The sequence below is a fragment of the Homo sapiens genome, chromosome 4 (assembly GCF_000001405.40).
Source record: "Homo sapiens chromosome 4, GRCh38.p14 Primary Assembly".
In the NCBI taxonomy this organism is placed as follows: domain Eukaryota; kingdom Metazoa; phylum Chordata; class Mammalia; order Primates; family Hominidae; genus Homo; species Homo sapiens.
The window spans coordinates 87509867-87530806 of NC_000004.12; the positions used below are offsets into that span (position 1 = coordinate 87509867).

General features: G+C 39.7%; 1 protein-coding gene and 1 long non-coding RNA gene across 5 annotated transcripts in view, besides 2 other annotated features; one reads left to right on the forward strand and one right to left on the reverse strand.

Moving 5' to 3' along the window:
• Positions 1 to 19510, reverse strand: part of SPARCL1 (SPARC like 1) — a 56042-nt gene extending 36532 nt beyond the window's left edge. For 3 of the 4 annotated variants that reach the window (NM_004684.6, NM_001291976.2, NM_001128310.3), the window contains exon 1: positions 19179 to 19510. The gene's annotated coding sequence lies outside the window, so the exon portion shown is untranslated. Of the gene's footprint in view, positions 1 to 6421; positions 6427 to 19178 lie in introns of all 4 variants that reach the window. The other variant, NM_001291977.2, reaches the window with a different exon arrangement.
• Positions 1019 to 1519: an enhancer, noted in NCBI's record as "H3K4me1 hESC enhancer chr4:88432037-88432537 (GRCh37/hg19 assembly coordinates)". NCBI's record gives its function as "activates a minimal SCP1, AML or CMV promoter by ChIP-STARR-seq in primed H9 embryonic stem cells {active_cell/tissue: H9 hESC(primed)}" and the evidence as "EXISTENCE:reporter gene assay evidence [ECO:0000049][PMID:30033119]".
• Positions 10355 to 16629, forward strand: LOC124900729 (uncharacterized). Its single transcript, XR_007058171.1, has 2 exons — positions 10355 to 10956; positions 15487 to 16629. It is a non-coding gene; the product is annotated as an uncharacterized LOC124900729 (long non-coding RNA).
• Positions 10549 to 11050: an enhancer, noted in NCBI's record as "NANOG hESC enhancer chr4:88441567-88442068 (GRCh37/hg19 assembly coordinates)". NCBI's record gives its function as "activates a minimal SCP1, AML or CMV promoter by ChIP-STARR-seq in naive H9 embryonic stem cells {active_cell/tissue: H9 hESC(naive)}" and the evidence as "EXISTENCE:reporter gene assay evidence [ECO:0000049][PMID:30033119]".
• Positions 19511 to 20940: the final 1430 nt, after the last annotated feature.

A 20940-nucleotide genomic window follows, 5' to 3' on the forward strand; every position in this document is an offset into this window, starting at 1 on the left:
TGTGTGGAGGACAGACCAGTAGCATGACCTGTGAGAGACAATTGTAACATCAAGGTGAGGTGGTCAGAGCCTTACATTTGGGCTGTGGTCTTAGGAGTGGAGAAAAGAGGGATAGATCCAACCTGTACTGGTTTGTGAGAGCTGTTTGTTACATTTCAAGACTTTTTTGAGTTGGTTGTTAAAGTCATCAATTAAAAATTAAATTACATACATGTATAATTTAATTATGTTAAAAGCAAAGAAAATAGTAGAAACTCATCACTTCATAATTATTTTACTATTATCTACTCTTTTGAGGTTATTTACATCTATTATATCTGTTGGTGGAAATACTATATAATATGTGTTCCGCATGTCTCTTCCCGATTCTGTTCAGTGGCGTCATGTTGGTAGCTTAAAATTGATAGCAACAGGAGGCAGAGAAACTGTAGGCATACAGGGGCGGGTCGCTGGCAAAATCCCACCTTCAAGCCGAAAAGCCTGAAACCCACAGCCCAAAGTGAGAACTTCCATTCTCTCCCGATTGGTTATTTCTGAATACTGTCTTTTTACCAATTGAATATTGCCTTTTCCAAAACTACCTACGGCCTGCCCCGTCCCCATCCTGTGCCCATAAAGACCCCAGAACTCAGCCAGCAGAGGGAAGAAGCAGCCTGATGTCGAGAAGAAGCGCCTGGACATAGGAGAGAGGTGGCTTGACTTCAGAGGAGAGGGATCTTCCCTTCCCATTCCCTTTCCAGCTCACCTCTCCACTGAGAGCCGCTTTCGTCACTGAAAAAAAAAATTCTCCACATTCGCCATCCTTCAATTCATCTGTGTGACCTCATTCCTCTTGGGCACTGGACAAGAACTCGGACACACTACGTGCAGGTATCCAAAAAGGCGGTCGCACTGGCCCTTTGCCCTTGCTGGCGGAAGGCAGTTGCCCTACGTGATGAGGCAAAGGGCTCACTGAGCTGATAACACACTGCTGTCTGCGGACGGTGGAGCTAAGAGTATGGTTACACGCCCTCTGGGGCTTGGCGTGGCTGGTGCCCACACCTGGACGCTGGTGAGGGGCCCACATGGAGTTTGCTCCTGCTGGTGCCAAAGTGGCCAGTTCCTGCCTTCGCTCGCTCAGGTTCCTGCAGTCATTCGCTTGCGCACTCCCTCCTGCAAGGGATTGAGCAGGGCGGGCTGAGTAAACAAGGCACCCCTGCCGCGAGTTCCGTGAAGGGGTCAAGAAAATATCCTGCATCAAAATCAGTTGTGGTGGGAGGATCAGTCACACCATGAAAACCATCAAGTGTCACCCACCTCTCCCTCTCTCAGAGAATGGGTTGCTCATTTACCAAAACACAACTGGATAGTTCTAAGAAATAATTAAAAAAAGAACAGATAAAACTTAATGACGAATTAGATATTGTAGGAATATGAGAAGGAAAAGTCTTGAGTCACATTTCTCATATGAACAACTTAGTAAATGGTGGTATTAATTACCAAGGTGAAGGATTATAGGAGGAAGGTTTGGTTTTAGAAGACAGACGGTGGATTAGTTTTGGGCTTGTTGAATTTGAGTAGAGATATCTAGTAGATACTTGGGTAGATAGGTCTGGAGGTAAGCATGGAGTTTGGGGTTACAGATGTAGCTTGCATGCTGTAGCATGAGCAGTTATTCAACCAGTTGAGCAGAGAGCTGGAGCCAGAACCCTGGGGAGTGAAGATCATTAGGCACCATCAGAGGATGGGAAGAGCTAAAGATACAAACAGTGAGAGAAAGAAGAGTCACATGAGAAAAGGGAAGTGTTAAATGTCACAGAGAGTTCAAAGCAAACAAGGTCAGGAAATTATCCATTGCCTCTGGAAGTGCAGAGGTTATTGAGGATCTCAGGGAGAGCAGTTTTGTTGCTGTGGTGTCGGTGGATGCCAGCCTGCAGTGATTGGAGAATGAACAGGCAGTGATGAAGTGAGGGCAGTGAGTGTAGACCACTCTAAAAATGATTGGCTGTGCAAAGGAGAGTAACGTGGTAGCTTAAAGGGAATATGCAGTTACAGGAAATTTATATTTGTATTTGAATGTGATCATTCAGATTCCTTTCCTTTCCTTTCCTCTTTCTTTCTCTTTTTTTTTTTTTTTGAGACAGAGTCTCACTCTGTTTTCCAGGCTGGAGTGCAGTGGCGTGATCTAGGCTCACTGCAACCTCCACCTCCAGGGTTCAAGCAATTCTCGTGCCTCAGCCTCCTGAGTAGCTGGGATTATAGGCATGCGCCACCAAACCCAGCTAATTTTTTTGTATTTTTAGTAGAGATGGGGGTTTCACCATGTTGGTCAGGCTGGTCTCAAACTCCTGACCTCAGGTGATCCACCTGCCTCAGCCCCCTGGAAGTACTGGGATTACAGGCATGAGCCACCATGCCCGGCCCCAGATTTCCCTTCTGTGCTGAAGGGAAAAGACAGGTAAATAAGGAAAAATTGAAGATAAAGGGTAAGAGAGGAGATAATGGTAAACAATGATGACCCCCAGTAAACCACAACTTCTGGGCTTCATTTCCCTATGATGTGGGCCTTAACCTTGTGATTTGCTTTGACCAATGTGACATTAGCAAGCATGATGCCAGCAGAAACTTGGTAAACCTTTGCACATTGGAGTTTTTCCTCTTGGTGGAAGCTATCAGCCATGCTGTACAAAAGCTTGACCCAGACTATTGAATGATGAGAGACCATGTGGCTGGAACCTTGCAGGATAACAGACCCTCCTGGATGATTCAGCCCCAGATGTGTTCCTAGCTCACTGAAGCCAGATGAATTAACTCCAGACAAAATCAGCAGAAGAATCATGCAGTGGAGCCCAATCCAGATTGGAGAATTATGAGCAAATACAGGGATGTGATTTTAAGCCATTTAATGTGAGAGCATACTGTTTTACAGCAACCGAAAACCAAAATAAGGCAAAACAGACCAGTTGCCAAAACCATTAGCAAGACAATATTTCATAACAATTAAAGGCATAAGTTCTGAAACAGGATGTCATAGGCTGTAATACTTAATTTGCGTAAATAAGCAAATTGTGTAGCTTTTGGGGGCTTCAGCTCATTGTCTATAAAATAGTATGAAGATTAAGTGAGACAATACCATCTTGGTAAATCCTGGATACATATTTACTGGTCTACTATTAAAGCACATGTGAAAGGTTTAACTCCAAAGAGAAGGAGGAACTCTTTATTCTTTAACACAAAAGGGAGGAAAGTTTAACTGTAAGGATGTCTTGAGGCAGGGTTCCAAGGAATATTAACTTATTAAGATGGATTTAGTTATACATTCCTTGTATTTATTTAGCATTTCACAGTTTATAAAGTGTTTTCTTATATACTGTCTCATTTGATTCAATGAAGAAAGGAGGGACAGAATTTTTAAATGTAAAGAAACAGAAATTTGAAGAGTCTAAATTATTTGGCCAAATGTACAAGGCTTAAGAGGTGGGCAAGAATTAGAAACGCTGAGCTTTGGACTCAGTATCCAATATTCTCCCCAAACAGACTAGTGAACAGGCTACAGACTAGAAGCCAGAAGTTCTGGCTTTGGGCCCTGGCTTTGCCAAGTACTAAATACTACCTTGAACAAATTACTTTCTCTCTCCAAACTTCATATATAGGATGGGAATACCAGTTCCTTCCGATGTCAAAGGTAGCTCCTTGCAAGGTGAGGTGAGGAAGCTCTTTGCAAACTCTGAAGTACCTTACACATGCAAATGATTATTATTTTCATTGTTCTGCCTGCTGCCTGTCATCAGTAATATCATTAGAGTCATTTATATCTTGTATTAACTACATATGTCTTGTATTAAGTGTGATATAAGGGAAAAGAACCTTAGTGTTTCTCCTCCCCTTTTCCGTATCTTCCTCCCCTAGGGGATTTCAAGCTTCCCAGGAGCTAGTTCCAGAACATATTTACTTTTAGTTCACTCATTAAACACAAACTCACCTATCCTATATTCTATACTTTTAAATCTTTGTTTTTTGCATGCATCTAAACCATACCGAGGAAATAGGAATATTCCTGAATTAGGGCTGGGCATTGTGGCTCATGCCTGTAATCCCACCACTTTGGGAGGCTGAGGCAGGCAGATCACTTGAGGTCAGGAGTTCGAGACCAGCCTGTCCAACATGGTGAAACCCCGTCTCTACTGAAAACACAAAAACTAGCTGGGCGTGGTGGCATGAGCCTGTAATCCCAGCTACTTGGGAGGCTGAGGCAGGAGAATTTCTTGAACCCAGGAGGTGGAGGTTGCAGTGAGCCAAGATTGAGCCACTGCACTCCAGCAATAGAGTGAGACTCCATCTCAAAAAAAAGAAAAAAGATTATTCCTGAATTAATGTATTTCTATTCTCAGGTAAGAGGTATGTTCACATTGTTCTTAACCCAAAAAGAGCTATCGAATGCTGAGAATCCTGGCGTAGCTGTATGGAAGATATTTTAAGGCATAGAACAAGTCTAGGGATTGTCATATAACCTCAGATGGCCACTTGTGCAGGCTTTTTGAGAGCCAACATTTACTGAATGGTCCCTGATTTTTACTGAGTCCAAAGATGGAACTATTTTTTAAGAGTTTTTTTCCATCCTGTAATTGAAAACAAAATTTAAACGCAGAGTATGGTCATGTCATTTAGAATGATCCAAGCAGGAAACCCCTTCAAGTTTCAATTATAAAGAAGATGCCTGTGTTTTATTTTTGAAGGACCTTGTGGGACAATCCAGTATCTAGACTTTAAAACGCCTTGTGTTCTTCCATTGTGTTCCACGTTGTCCTTTAGACTAGTCACTGGGCATTTTTGTCTCACTGAGCTAATTGTATTTGCCACATATTGATCAAAAATAATTTCATGGCCTTTAGCTTCTTATTTTAAGAACTGAGCAAATGTGCTGATTGTATAAATAAGACAGAATGGAGAACTTTCCTGGGAAATGAGAGATATTTTGAAAACAACTGTCATACTGAAGACTCAGGGAGGCTTAATTAGCTGATGCTTGCAAAGTACTTTGAAAAATCAAAACCATGATGTCCTTGCTAAGTATGATGAATACCATTTATTCTTGGATGAGTAAAAAGTCATTTATTTTGAGACATTCGAGTTTGGTGTGCACTGACTACAAAATACAGATTATTTTTGCAGAAATAGAAAATAAAACTCCAGATGAAAAATGCAAAAATGAGACAAATTTTGGAATTCACAGAATTATTATTCTCAAAGACTTAAATATGCAGTATTGATGTGAAACTAAATCAATATTATTTTGCTCAAATGCGTGAGCTTATTCAAAGGCAGCTGCATAGTTTAAAGGACAGTTGGTACGGAACTGGAAGATCTAAGTTCCAGACTTGAACTGCCTTTTACCAGCTAAGAGACTTTGATCAAGTCACTGGTTTCTTCATCTACAAAACAGGAAAGGTAATATTACATTTTCTTATCTATCTTCTGGAGTTGTTTTGAGATTCAAATGTGATCCTATAGTTATTTGGTAATTTCACCAACTGTAAAAATGAAATGAAAGATGTTATCATATCTTTGAAACATGCATAAGGCAGAAAATGGCTTAATAACCCCAATAATGAATAATTCAGACACTTTAATTCATCCCTTTACTAGAGTCCTTAGGTTATTTCTTTCTTTTCTTCATCCCACTGTTTCTTTTTATGGATTTAGAGAGGTTAAAGATGAGGGATGATAGGTAACTGGAAGGAGAGCCCTTTCCTTCTGTTAGGAACAGGGTGTCTCATTACCAAACTTTCAGGAGAACCTCAGCTGGAATTTTAAAAGATGATAGCTAGACAGCATTTTATAGAGAACATCCAGCATTTGAATTTCAAATGCCTAGAGTTTTTCTATTGGCTGACCCATGTACCATTAAAACAAATCTCCAGAGGAATCATTTGTCATGGCAGAAATAGGTCTCCCATTAAGAGCCAAACACCCACAAATGTCAACTCTATTCTAACTCACATGAGTAACTGCCTTGAGACAATTTCTTACATTTCTTATTTAATAGGTATAAATATTATGGTAGAGATTGCTATAAATTCTTTGCTATTTCTCCTGTTGAGAGGTGGAGTCTAATTCTCCTTCCCTTGAATCTGGACTGGGTTTAGTGACTTACTTGGCCAATTGATTGAGATAGAAATGATGTTCTGGGACTTCTGAGGCTAGGTCATAAGAAACCTTGGAACTTTTACCTAATCTCCTGGAAAACTCATTTTGGGAGCCTTGAGCCATTTTCTGAGTCTGTCATGTCACAGAAGACACTTCAACAGTTCTACCAATCCCAGCTTTGCATCTGTCCTTGCAAATGCGCAGGACACGTGAGTGGAGAGATCCTGTGCCACTCCAGATCAGCTCATCTCCTAGCTGAGTACCTCTGAGAGGCCTGCCCAAATTTCTGACCCACCAGATCTCGAGACATTATGAAACAGTTGCTTTGAGTCACTGAGTTTGTAAGAAGCCATATATAATTGGCTGTAAACATTAAATATTTTTGTGTGGAATAGCACTCAAATGTACTCAGTAGTAGAATCACTTATGGTCATCAAAGTATTATTTTATTGAAAAAGTACATTTTTGTCTTAGACCATTTAATAGTAGCTCATTCAATGGCATATACATTCCTGAGATTTTACTATATGCCAGGTTCTATGCTAAGCACTTCACCTGTGTACCATCCATGCACTCCCATCTGTGACCCTCACCTCCATTTCACAGAACTACCATTCAGTGAGTGCTTCCTGACCATCCCTCTTTGCCACTGTGCCTGGTCAGCAGTGAGGAGCATGGAAGCCAAAGGGCACCCGGAGGCACAGCTTTTCAGACACATTCTTAAAGGTCTGTTTCTTTCTTGCTCAGGCGAAACTAGTCCATTCCTCCTTTTCTATAATGTGTAATTGAGGGATTACTTTAATTATATTTAGAGGATCCCCCAGGCTTATCTTACCCAAGCTTGTGCAATAGCCACCTTTCACCATCTCTTAATCATGCCTTTCAGAGTTTCTCGTCTTATCATACCACTCACTAATCTCACTGTGTCTCATTCCAGAGCTCCAGATGGGATGGATCCATCCAGGGAGACAGTTGCCTGTTCTTTTTCTCAGACATTTGCCAATCCTTCAGAAAGGGTCCACCACACCCTGTCCTGTGTTATAGTGGGAGACATTATTTTGGCCATATTTATTTTTCTTTGCTCAAGTCCTACTATGGTATCTGTGCTACTATTTTCTCTTTCTCAGAGAAAGAGAACACAGGATTTTCTCATATTTACATTTATTTATTTTTCTGAACTTTTTGTTGTATTTGGGGTATAGACATTTGAATATGGCCAGGATAGACGTGCCATAAAACTAGGAAGCTTGAGTTTCAAGGCCCCTCACTTGTGCAGCCTCCATACAAAGTTCTAGACTTGATTTTGACTTTTATATTTTTAAAAAAGAAGGTTCCAAACATATGTATAAACTCTTGGCTTCACAAACCCTGAATCTGCTCTTAGGATGGCTCACCTAAAGTCCTGGCGTTTGTGACGTTGCAGTAACTTAATAATATCTGAATGATTGGCTTCATGTTGTTAATAGTAAGACAATACACCTTTTAAAGCCTAGCCCCTGTAATTATCAGATAGATTAATCCTCTGCTTTTTCTGCCTTTAACTCTTCTCCCTACCCCTTAATTTATTTGTTTCTCTACTACCCCTGTAATTTCTTTCCCCTGAATGCCTAGTTCTTGGCTTTATCCTCTGACTGCTCTTATTTGAATTTCCCTTATTAGTTAAACTCTACCAGTATAATATAAAACTCCTTTGGATTCAGTGGAAATTGCCTCTCTTTTGCTAACAGAGTAAGTCAGTTGTTAAATTCTGCTAGTTGGGAGAGGAATTTCAAGTGCTTTCAGCTCTGTGAATGGACCAAGAATTATTTATTGGGGGGTAGTTCTCTTCTAGGATTAAGAAAAACAACAAATAATACCAAAGAACAGTTCCAAGTAGCCTCATTCTCATGGTGTTGGGACCTTCTGGGGAATAATGGTGTACTTTGATGAGCATTTAGTTCTTGTGTGAACCGCTAATGCAAGCATTCAGTCCCAGCAGAAGTCCCTTTAGGATTCAGATCGTGGTCCAAGCTTCTCATGTACCTTGGTGAGGGCCAACACATTTAATATGGGAAACAATTGCTTGCTTACCTCAGTGGTGCAAAGTTACTTATTATCTACCTTTTCTGAAAGAAGCAGATGTAATAAACCCTAATGGATTTTAAGGCTAGAGTTTGAAAAGTTCTTTGAAAATAGGGTGAAAACCTGGAAGCTTATTTATGCCTTCAGAGAGAAAATGTTAAGAAGATGCCTTCAAGCAAGGAAAAGACACAGCTTGCCCACAGCTGGTCCACAGCTGTTAATTCTTCTCCTCCCACCATGGGAAAAGACTTTTCCCCTCAAGCCAGGCTTAATGGCTCGTGCCTGTAGTCCCAGCTACTGAGGAGGCTGAGGCAGGAGGATTGCTTGAGCCCGGGAGTTTGAGGCTGCAGTTATCTCAGGCTATCATAACCTTGAATGATCCAATCCAGAGTGTTTTTCAAAGTATAATAAAACATTTGCTTTTGAAATCAATGGCTTCATTTTCAGACTGTAAGAAGACATCAGCTGTTTTTATCAGTGAGATGATGCTGATACTTCTCTTCCCCGCCTATGCCTATCCAAAAAGCTAATGAGTACAAGATCAATACGAGTACCAAGGTTTCAACCAAGCATTTTTCTATTTTATAACAACATCTTCCACTATTTTCTTCTCCCCATATTTTAGGAAATTATTGAAAAGTTTTTCTAGTAAGACATTAACCTGCTTCTCATTATAAAGTCCTTAAAACCCATTAGCTGGAGTTGGGCAACAGGGAAGAAAAAGAGAGAAAAAGAAGACACTTAGGGTTAAGAATTTGTGCTTTGTTTCTTCTGAATTCTAATAGAATACTCCCTTGATTTAGAGAGAATTAGCTCAAAATTGTTTGGTCCCCAGTAAAAGGTTGGGAGGATCCACTGAACTAATGGCTTGAAAGTTAAAAATGATTTCAATGAGCTAAGACAGCATGAACATCTGACCAAACACGTCATGAAACCATTTACATGTTTTATTTACCTATCATAAAGGTCAATTCTTCTGATTTTTGTATATCTCAGGGTACCTTCCTATCAAGTCCCTATCTTTTTTTTTTTTTCTGAGATGGAGTCTTGCTCTGTTGCCCAGGCTGGAGTACAGTGGCTGATCTCTACTCACTGCAACCTCCGCCTCCCGGGTTCAAGCAATTCTTCTGCCTCAACCTCCTGAGTAGCTGAGACTACAGGTGCACACAACCACGCCCGGCTAATTTTTATATTTTTTAGTAGAGACGGGTTTTCACCATGTTGGTCAGGCTGGTCTTGAACTCCTGACCTCAAGTGATCCACCTGACTCAGCCTCCCAAAGTGCTGGGATTACAGGCATGAGCCATTGTGTCCGGCCTGGGTCCCTATCATATTATATAGGCAATTAGATAACTCAAGTTGAATCAAATAATGTAAAAATGCTTTGCTTTCAGAGCTATTTAGGGCCACTTTGAATGGTGGGTTCATTAACTCTGTAGCCATAGCACTTTTATTTGAACCTAGTGTAAAGTTTGTCCTAAGTTTTGAAAAAGATAACCATTTACCACTCCCCACTCCACTAATCTTCAACTAAGAACCTATTAGTTGACTGCATGATTCTTCTGAAAATTTGCAAATTTTTTTCCCTATAAGCTGCAAATACATATTTTACACACATTCAGTGGAGTACAGTGATTATACAGAAGTGACAGAGATTTGAATAGAATGTGGTTAGTAATTTTATTTTTAAATATCTCAGCAATTATAGACTTGTGTCAAGTACTCATAAAATATCTATTTTCATAAATTACTGTTTTGAGAACTGTTTCCGTTTATCTCAACCAGGTTTTAGGAATTTAGGATGACCCCTCTCCAAGCAGTACTACAGTCTCACTAACCTCAAGCAAACAGGTTGGCTGAAAGGGTGACACACAGCATTGGATATCACAAAGGTAGCAGAAACAGGCCAGGCACGGTGGCTCACACCTGTAATCCCAGCACTTTGGGAGGCCGAGGTGGGTGGATCACTTGAGGCCAGAAGTTCAAGACCAGCCCAGCCAACATGGTGAAACCTCATCTCTACTAAAAATACAAAAACTAGCCAGGCGTGGTGACAGGTGCCTGTAGTCCCAGCTACTCAGGAGGCTGAGGCAGGAGAATCACTTGAGCTGGGTAGGCGGAGGTTGCAGTGAGCCGAGATTGCACCACTGCACACTGTACTCTAGCCTGGGTGACAGAGCCAGACACTGTCTCAAAAAAAAAAAAAAAAAAAAGTTGTTGGGAACAGATTATGGGAGGATATTGGCCTAAATAATTCACTAATTTATTTATCATTTAACATGGCATTCCAAGTTCAATAAGAAAAGTCATCTTGCCGGAAAAAAAAGTGTGTGGGAGGGAGCAAGTGTTGGCTCAAAATTTGCTTTGCCTGACTAATGGATCCTTGAGGAAACTCCCCAAACTCCTGGAATCAGATATGAAAACGTTTTTCCTTTTTGTGGGAGTAGGGGGTAGAAGATTATGACTTTTGTTCCTAAGCAAGGCAAGCCAAGGTCATTGCAACCTTCCTGCATAATTGTCAAAGTGAGAAGGCAGAGCACAAGCATATCCCCTGCCTGAAGCCCTTTTGTTTAGTTTCCTTTTGTATCAAAAAGATTGGCTTTCACCATGGGAGAGGTTGTAATTGGATTTCACCATGAAAGGAAGTTGTAATTGGATTTCTCAGCACTCTACAAGCTCTGTCCCTGGAAAAGCAAGGAAAAGGGGCCTGAATATCCTTTCTGCTAGCTGGAAACAGCCCAGCCAAGCCATCAGAGATTGACCTGAAAGGTATGGGCAGAATGGGCCATGTGTGTGTCAGCTACCCCCATCTCTGATGAAAAGCTATGTGTGTAATAGCTAAATATCGCTCCTGAAATTTGTATCTCCTAGAAAAGAGGAGGGTGTCTAAAGTTTGGCATACACTAAAACACAAAAACATCATTCTCCGTCTAGATTTATTAGGGAACCTACACAAACGACCAGAATATGTTTTTATTTTCGGTACTATGGTTTATTTTGCATTCTTTTTCTGTAATTGGTTCCACTTCAGTTTCTATGATATTTCCTAGAAACTTAAATTACAGTAAGATTAGGTCGAAGTAGATATTTGTATTTGATTTATTTTCAGTTCCTATAGTTTTTTAGAACATTAATTTACATTTAAATTTTAAAAGATAAATTTTATTTTTGAAGTTCTGTATATTGCCATGCCACTTAAATCAACTTAGCACACCTGCTCCCCTGGGCACTTCTTGCCTTGCTGTACTTCTTCTTTCTATCTTCCTTCTCTTTCCTTTTCTCTTAAGCATTAATAAGCTGTCTGAACACTGAACCAGACTGTAAACGCAGTCATCCATACCTCTGAAAGGAGGAACAGGATTCCTCTTTCATATTGGCCACATCAGTGACTCCCTGGAAATTTTAGTGCTGGTAGTTATTGCTTCAAGTCTTTCTAATTGAATTTTCCTTGTGTTGCCTAGCATTCCCCTGGTTTCTGAACCCTCCAGTCTGAACCCTCCAGTGGTTAGCTCCTTCTGTGGCAGCCTCAGCAAAATTTACAAGTCCTCTTCCTTCCCTTCTGGGCCTAGGGAACTTGTTTCAATATTTTTGGGTTTCAAGGCAGATGATGACAACTTGATCTGTTTATCACTTTGTCTAAAGTTTAATGAACTAAGAAAGACATACCATGTGTACTAGAAAAAGGAGAGGTTTGTCTTGTTACTTTCTTTTTCTTATTACTCTTGGCCTATCATTTCCTGGAGTATGTACATCCATGCATCCAAATAAGGCCAGGTATCTTCTGTTGAATTTGTTTATATCAGAGGAAGCCTGTAGACTGCTATTTTTAGCAATTATTACAACTATGGAAAAATTTCCTTTCTGGGAAATGTAGTAAACAAAACAATTATTATAGGTACTTTATAAACAGACTCAGAACGTTCCTGTTCACCTTGTTTTTACATAATAGTCAAAGGCCTTGTTATCAGAGAGCAAATCTCTTAGTCATATTTTGGCTAACATATACGTGCTGTTACCTGATCCAGTGTTAACACTGATGCTTTAGAGCTTTTAAAGTATTAATGAGTCTCTGGGGAGAGCTCTATGGTTTGGCCCTAAAGTCATCTGAAGGGTGAAAAAGACGTTCTTCTATTTTGAGTTCTCTGCTGAGTCACCATCTGACATCAAGGTGTCCCAGCCCTGTGAGTGTATATGATATACTCAGAGTCAATGACTTAAGACTTTTCTGGGCATCTGACCTTCAACTGCCCATCATCCTTCCTAATTGAACCTACCACCATAAGAGTCTGAGCTAGGGATAGACATGGTCATGCCTGTTGGGGCTTTGAGACTAACCAGAAATCCATCCAGACGTTAAAAGTATACATTAAACCTGAATCAAGCAAAGGGCACATACATTTAGTGCTCAGGGAAGGGAGTATTATGGAGATTTACATCTTCCACTGCTCTGCCCTTGCTCTCGGGAGCTGGCTGCCTCTCAGTGCCTCAAATAGGCCACGATCCCTCTTGCTCCAGGGTCTTTGCACAAGTGTTCACGCTGTCAGAATTCTCTCTCCAGCACCCGCTCCTCCCAGCCACCACCACCAAACACACACACACACACACACACACACACACACACACACACACGCACACACACAGAGTTAACCTCTATTCAGACTTCAGATCAAGGAAAGCCATTATTGATCCTGAGTGGAGGTCAGGATCCTTATATACTCTCTTGGAACAAAGGTGTTTTGCCTTCATAACACTTATTTCAGTGTATCATTATATATGGCATGTGTTCAAATAAAATGTGTTTTTTCTCACGCCACCAAATCCTGCCGTAAAAAAGAGGGATTTGACTTATATTCAAGTGCTTCCAAAGTTTCTTCATTTTGAGCAGCAAAGTACTATTCAAAAAAACAATTAGAAATCATCTCAAGAGCTGGGCACAGTGGCTCATGCCTGTAATCCCAGCACTCTGGGAGGCCGAGGTGGGTGATCACCTGAGGTCAGGAGTTCAAGACCAGCCTAGCCAACATGGCAAAACCCTGTCTCTACTAAAAGTACAAAAAATTAGCCAGGCGTGGTGGTGCACACCTGTAATCCTAGCCACTCAGGAGGCTGAGGCAGAAGAATTGCTCCAGCCCAGGAGGTAGAGGTTGCAGGGACCCAAGGTCACACCACTGCACTCCAGCCTGGGTGACAGAATGAGACTCTGTCTCAAAAAAAAAAAAAATCTCAAGCAATGCTTATTTTTATTCTTAGGAAGGTCACCTTGACAAAATGGATGAAAAAATAGATAAAGATATTTAAAGCAGGTTTAGTCATTATTCCTGAGGTATGACTTCATTATTGCAAGTTGGAATCACATAGTTTTAGAAAGCCACACTTACAGTTTCAAGTGGTTTTTAAATACGCCCTTTAAAAAGCACTGGAAAAACAATCTAGTCAGTAATGAAAGTGTGGAGAACATGACCACGAGTGAGGACTAATGCCTGGGGATTAAATTTGCAGCATCAGCAGATGTTTAGCAACTTGCAGAAGGATTGATGATGTGCTCTGTATTAGATAATTACAGCGTGGATCCAGTGAACATACACATTGGTGTTAAAGATGCGTATGAAGAGTTTTAACAAAATTGTTTCATGAAATGTGAGAAAGGAAAAAGTCATGTTAATAAGTATAAAATATTTAAATTAAAGTAACATATTAAATATGTATGTGAACCATAGATTAAATATCCCAAGTGTACATTACAATATATTACCCATTTGTACATGCTGTTTGGCCAAACACTTTGGTTGAGGATGTTCTCACTAGAAAGATGAAGATGGCATTGTATTTGGGGGCACCTTATGTTTGGTCCTATGCAGTTTTCATTATTGTGATGGTTTGATTAATGACCATTTTCATAACTACATAGTAAGCACCACAAGAGCTCAGCCCCTCTCTAGTTTTGCTCCTTGCTGCATTTCTGGAATTTTGCATGGGATAGAACACTGAATACATTAGTTGTTTGAGATGTAAGATAAAAATGCTAACTTATTTTCATAATTGCATGACCTAGAAAACACTGGAGGAACTGAAACAGAAACGTAATAAAAAGTTAATGAAAGATAAGATGTTTTAATACTTTTTACCCTGGTGTTAATCAAGATGAGATGAGTCTTTATAAATGTAAAAAGTCACAATTCTTTTTTTTCCCCCTGTAGAAATCAAATGGTTCACATTTATGCAATGATAATTCTGAGGCCTCTATTCATTATATTTGACTCACTGGGAATTCTAAGTTCAAAAAGGCCATTCATGTCAGAGTTAGATCAAACTGAAACTTACCCAATAGTCCCACAGACAGATCTTTTTGAAAAACATAGAAGTTGACCCTCCTGGTCTTAAAGTGTGAAACTTATATTTGTTTTATCTAAGTTCCTTCCTCAGGACAGGACCTTCAGGCTTCTAAAAAAGTATAAAAGAATGGAAACTCACCAGATCACTGCAGCAGATGCCTGACCGCTTATTCACCATGATTGTTTCCTTACCCCTACCTAGTTCTTATTTTCTTACACATTGTTACATTTTTCCCTTGCTATGTAAACCCCTAGTTTAAGTCAGTTAGTGAGATGGATTTGAGACTGTGCTCCCATCTCCTCAGCTGCAGCACCTGATTAAAGCCTTCTTCATTGGCAATACTTGTTGTCTCAGTGATTGGCTTTCTACGAAGTGAGCAGCAGGACCTAGACTGGAACCTTGCTGTTTCAATAACAAAACCATGAAAAAGAATTGTAATAACTACTACTTATTGAGCATGTACATTCATTATTTTAGTTAATCATACAATGATCATCTTGGCATGGTGGCTCACACCTGTAATCCCAGCACCTTGGGAGCCTGAGGCAAGCAGATCACTTGAGGCCTGGAGTTTGAGACCAGCCTGGCCAACATGACAAAACCCCATCTCTACTAAAACAACAAAAATCAGCCAGGCATGGTAGTACATGCCTGTAGTCCCAGCTACTCAGGAGGCTGAGGCACAAGAATCACTTGAACTCAGGTGGTGGAGGTTGCAGTGAGCTGAGGTCATGTCACTGCACTCTAGCCTGGGCAATAGAGCAAGACTCTGTCTCAAAAAAAAAAAAAATACAATGATCTTATGAATTAGCTGTTATCCACATTTCACAAGTGGGGGAAACTGAGGCTCCTGAGCTTAGCAGCCAACCTTTACCATGGGTTAGATACTGTAATAAATGCCTTACATGCTCAATCTCATTCAATTCCCATGACAATTTTATGACTGTTATTATATCTATTTCACAGATGAGAAGACAGAGGCACAGAATGGATTAGATTAAAACAACTAGAAGGTATGAGTGCCAGGATTCAAGTCCAGGCAGTCTGCCCCAGAATTCCCCTCTATAACCACTACACCATAGCACATCGTGAAGATGGGAGGAAGCAGTGGGAACTTGAAAAATGGATTTATTGCAGGGTTTGCTGCAGTATGTGTATCATGTGAGGCCATTTCTATTTCTCTTTCTTTGCCTTCCCAGTTGTTTTTCCCCTGTATGCCACAGTAAACTAGCCACTGTTTTAGCAGCTCTCTTGTTGATTTTTAAAATACCTATTCACTAAATCTTTAAAGGAAACATTTAGCTACTGCAATGGGTGTACATAAGTTGGTTGTGTAATAGGAAGGAAACAAGCCAGGACTGGAGACTTCATTTCTAAAGAAGGATTTTAAAGCAGACTAAGAGTTATTTCCCAGAGCAGGTCATGAAGCAGGAGTCTCTCTACACCCTTTCATTGCTATGACGACAGCCTGCTCCTGCTACATGCAGCCAGAAAAAGCAGCTTACATTTCAATGCTAGGAACATAGGGGAGAGGTTTACAAAAACACCAAACAAAGACAAAAAAACAAAAAAAAGACTCTTTCACTTGAATTTCAGTTAGAGAGGAAAAAATATCCCCTGGAGCAAGTCAAAAGCCCTATTCTTGCCTTTAGAAGAGATAAGAAAGAAGAAATGTTGGGGGCTTTCCCTCTTGTCCAAGTGGGCCAATAAAACAGAATTGACAGCAAAGCAGCATTTCTTCTCACTCTGTGTAATGGCAAGCTGGCATAGAACACTTTCTTTGGTTTCCTTTGACTTGGCCATTAAGAAGCTACTAACTGATGCAGCAGTGAAGTCTCATAGTAATAAATACCTCGTGTTGAGGCCCCCCACCAGGGGAAAATAGTAGTGTCCGATTTACTTTTACATTTCTTTGGATAAAAAAGGCAATTCAAAGAATATTTCCTTCTTGATCTCCATTGTTACTACCAGAGAAATCATTGCAAGTATGTAACAGAGGCCTCACTGATATACGAGATTCCTTATGAGCAACCAGTCAACTTTCCTATGTGTTTACTTCTCTGCCAGGTGCTATACTTGGCATTTAATAAACATCACATTTCATTCCTACAACGACCTCATTTGTGTGTATTATTATCCCCATTTTGCTAAACAGATGAGTAAACTGAGTCATGCAGGTGGGAAGTAACTGCCAAAGCTTACACTGATTGTAAGAAGCAGAGTCAGGATTCTAGCCCAGATGCATTGGACTCTGAAGCCCATGCTCTGTCCACTCTGCTGTGCTGCCTCAGAGGCATACACCTGGCATTCATATTTTATTATAGAGCAAAACGTATAAGTACAAGGAAGAAACCCTGAGAAAATATCTAGAGTCAGTTCCCGTTCTACGGAGTTTCAATAGGGACATATAGTTAGTCCAGTACTTTCATATTATCTACGATTGATTGATTGCTTTAATGTACCAAACATGGCTCTTTTCTTCACTTAATTCTTACAACAAATCTCTGAGGTAGCTACTGATTTTATAATCCCATTTCCATGAATGAAGAGACTGAGGCACAAAGAGATGAAGTTGTTTGCCCAAAGTCACAGAGCTATTTTGTGGTAAAGCTTGGATATAAACCACGGTCTTATATAAACAGGGTCCATATGGTCAGATATAAACCACAGGTCATGGCCTTATTCACTTTATTAGATTGCCTCCCCACCTTTGGAACAATCATCAAGACCATGCACTCTGTTTTTCAAAGTTCTATCCATCTTTTGATGACTAAGACAAAAGCCAGGCTAGCCCTAGGTAATGCTATCATCGCTAACTCAGCCTTTGGCAGAAGATGCCCTGTGAGCCCCGTAAGAAACAGACCCTGGCCTGGTTGGACATCTCTCAGGAAGCCAGGCCTACTGGGAAGTTCTACTGGATTTATTTATGGGGGTCTCCTTCTCCACTGAAGATCATTCTAGAGGGATAAGTGAGGACTATGTGCACTTCAGATCTTCTAACAAGTTGTTTATGCCCTTCTCGGTAGAAAAATGTTCCCAACCAGTTCTGGATATGGTGCTAAACTTAAGTAAAATAGCAGTGTTTAAGTCAACTGAGTAAAAAGAACAGTCAAGAGGAAATGAAATAAATAATGTTTTCAAGTTGTCCAGATGCATCACTATTCATTTTATTTCTGTCATCACTATTATTTTTACTTAGTTGATATGTGAATCTGTGCCATGAGGAGCTACTGGGGATTAAATCTCAAAAGACCTAGGAAGGAAATGCCAGCACTCTAATTGCTCAATGGCTGTGTGAAAAATTCTCTGAAAGAAAAAGGCAAGGTTCATAAATAACATGTGAATATTCTTCTCCAAAATGTGGAAAGTGGCACTAGTTGATTGGACGATAAGTAGATGAAATAAACTGCTCTGCTTTGCTAGATCTTATTAAATGAACAGAAATATTAACTTAAATCTTTCCAAAGAGGGTGTTTTGAATAAAAAAAAAATCATAGTTAACAATAGTCACAACCATCAGGTTTGACTGAGTAAGCTGTGAACTGAAAAAAGCTGGTGTCTACGAGAAAGGGGAGAATAAAAAAAAAAAAGATTTCTGCTGACTTGGACTGAGTGAACATTTCTATTCAATGTGCTTAGGCCCTGGGCCAGAGGAGAGCTCAGATACAATGCCAAGGTGACATATTTAACCTCTTTGCAGATTAAAGGCAGTGCAAAAGAGATACTCTTTCTGCAGTACCTCTTGGTGTACTGTTTCAACAGTATTGATCTGCAGTTAAAAGCATGTTTTTTTTTCTTTTCTTTTCCTTTCTTTTCTTTTTTTCTCTTGCAGAGTGACCTTTAATACCTGGGAAGGATGAATAAGCACAACCTACATTATTGCTTTATTTTAGAAAAGAGAGCCAGAAATGGTAGTACATTATAATATGAGTTACCATAATCTCTTTAGCTCTTTAATTCTCTTCTCCCATTTTTGCTTTTGTAAATAAGACATTATCAAGAATTAGAGAAATTTTAGGTCTATGTGTGAGCATCTTAACAAATGATAGTAGGAGGCAAAAAATAATTAGTTATAAAGCTGTAAAAGGGAACCAAGAAAGGGAAAATAATCGCAATAACTTAAAAATAATCAAACAAGAATATAGTATAAAAGGAGAAATTTTCCTACCTTTTGGAAAAGCAAAAAGTTCCGTTTCTACATTGCTGTTAGGCTCAGGAGATTGAATAACTTTAGATAATTTAAACATGGAAAACATACAAATTATTTGATTTGAAATTTTTTTTAAAAACTACCTTCTTTATAGTTTATTTCATATATGTAATAAAGTACTTCTACAAAACACATTTCAGGATTCAGGCTTCACTAAGATCTGAATGCTACTGAGGCGATCAACAGTTCCACATTTCTATTCTTGGTCTTCACTAAAATCACCATCATTTATTAGTACTTGCTATTTAATTTCGCAGGAAACAAGAAAACATGAATACAAATGGTAAAATTCTCTATGAAGTATCTTTTCTGTAAATCACACAAAACTTTTTTTGGTAAATAAATGGCTTTGTATTATTTAGGCAAAAATATTTGACAGCTTTATCAGATCACGCAAATCAGCTTAACAAATGCAATTAGATAATGCCGTAAATTTATTACAACTTACCTTTAAGTAAGGGGCTGGACCCAGAGCCACTGCAGAAAAATTGAAGTTGAATCCCCTCTGCACACAGACAGGGAATAAAAGTTTGACAAACACCCAAGAAAAACTCTTTAAATCCCTTTCCTCGTTAGCTCTGCTTCTTTGCCCAGAGGCATATTCAAGTCTACTGGAGTTGAAATTCTGCTGCTCTGTCAACTAGTGGGGGTCTGAAGTGACAGACGAGAATTTGGAGGTTGGCACCAGAGAGTATTTCAGACTGTCATCGTTTTTGTTGCAGATTCCTGGATTTCCCTAGCAGGCTGGCCTCTCATGCGAGGGCTTTACAGGCAGTGCTTGCAAACCAAAAGGGAAAGAGCTAATTCTGGTGGCGTGGATGGGGTTAACAGTCTTCCCCTCAAGCTCTTGTTCTCAGAGCCTCATAACTTGGCCAGAATATAAGCACTTGGCTCTTTATGCATTTTTTTTCTTTTTCAAACAACTCTGAAAGGTTTTATAAGCAGCATCCCTTTTTTGGAGATTTTTATTTTAAGACCTTGAAAAGAAACTCCATGCTGTTGTTTCTTTCTAAAGGAAATTGGGGAGTAGGGATTAAAGGAGGGAAGAAGAGAAATGGCAGCAGATGCATTTTTACGTTGCTCAATTGGAAATTGTTCTAGCAAATACAGTCTGAATTTTAATAGAAGGGTACTTCAGATACCTTAACCTTCTTTGAATGAGATTTGGAAATGGACATATATAAAAATGATTGCTCCTTATATTATAGATCACTTGTATGCTGATTCAGAAATGTTGCAGTTCTCCCCTCAACACAGCTCTCCACTGTAACTCCATGGTTATAATGGTTGGTATCTAAGAAGGAGGTTTCCCATAAAAAGAATGGAGGTGTGCACTTATTTTTGGCCCGGGATTCTGGTTGTTTGTATGTGTCTAATCTCTTCTACTGCTACTTCTACATTTATCACACATTTATTATGTGTCAGACACTGTGCTAACAGCTTTTTATGCGTTATTATCAGTTGATCCTCACTACGCATGGTAAGTTTTACTGTGTTCCCATTTGAGGGGTAGTGTCATACAGTGGTTGGATTGGCAGAATTTGAGGCCAGCCAGCTTGGATTTGCATCCTATCTTCACCACTTCCTAACTATGACCCGGGACAAGTTATATAACCTCTCTAAAGCATCAGTGCTTTTATCTATAAGACAGGGATATACATATGGAAATGATGATAATATCTATCTCTGCAATTGTTCTGAGTTTTAAGTTAGTTAACATGATAAACTGCATAGAACACCCCTGCCACGTAGCAGACACTCAATAAATGTTAGCTATTATCATTTACATAAGAGGAAACCAAAGCTTAGTAAGGGTGTTTTTTCTAGGGTATCCAACTGTAACTTACAGGATGGGATTCCAAATCAGCTACCATGGCTGACAGCCACACTTGTGTAACTTATCTATAATCCCTCTATTATGTGATATAGACACATATATATATCATACCTGCTTCTGAGAAAGCTGTAAACTCCTTGAAGGAAGGGGATGTGCCCTTTCTGCATTCTCCTGGTGCCTAGCACAGTGCTTTGCATCCTGTAAATGTTCCATTATCATCAGATGAATAATTATAATTTAATTTAATTTAATTTAGATTTTCTAAATGCATGCCAACGTCTGGCCAAAAGCAAAAACACTGACAAAAACAAAATAAAACCAAAATAAACCAAAAACCCCCACCTACATTTCTAGGCAAATATGCCCTCAGCCA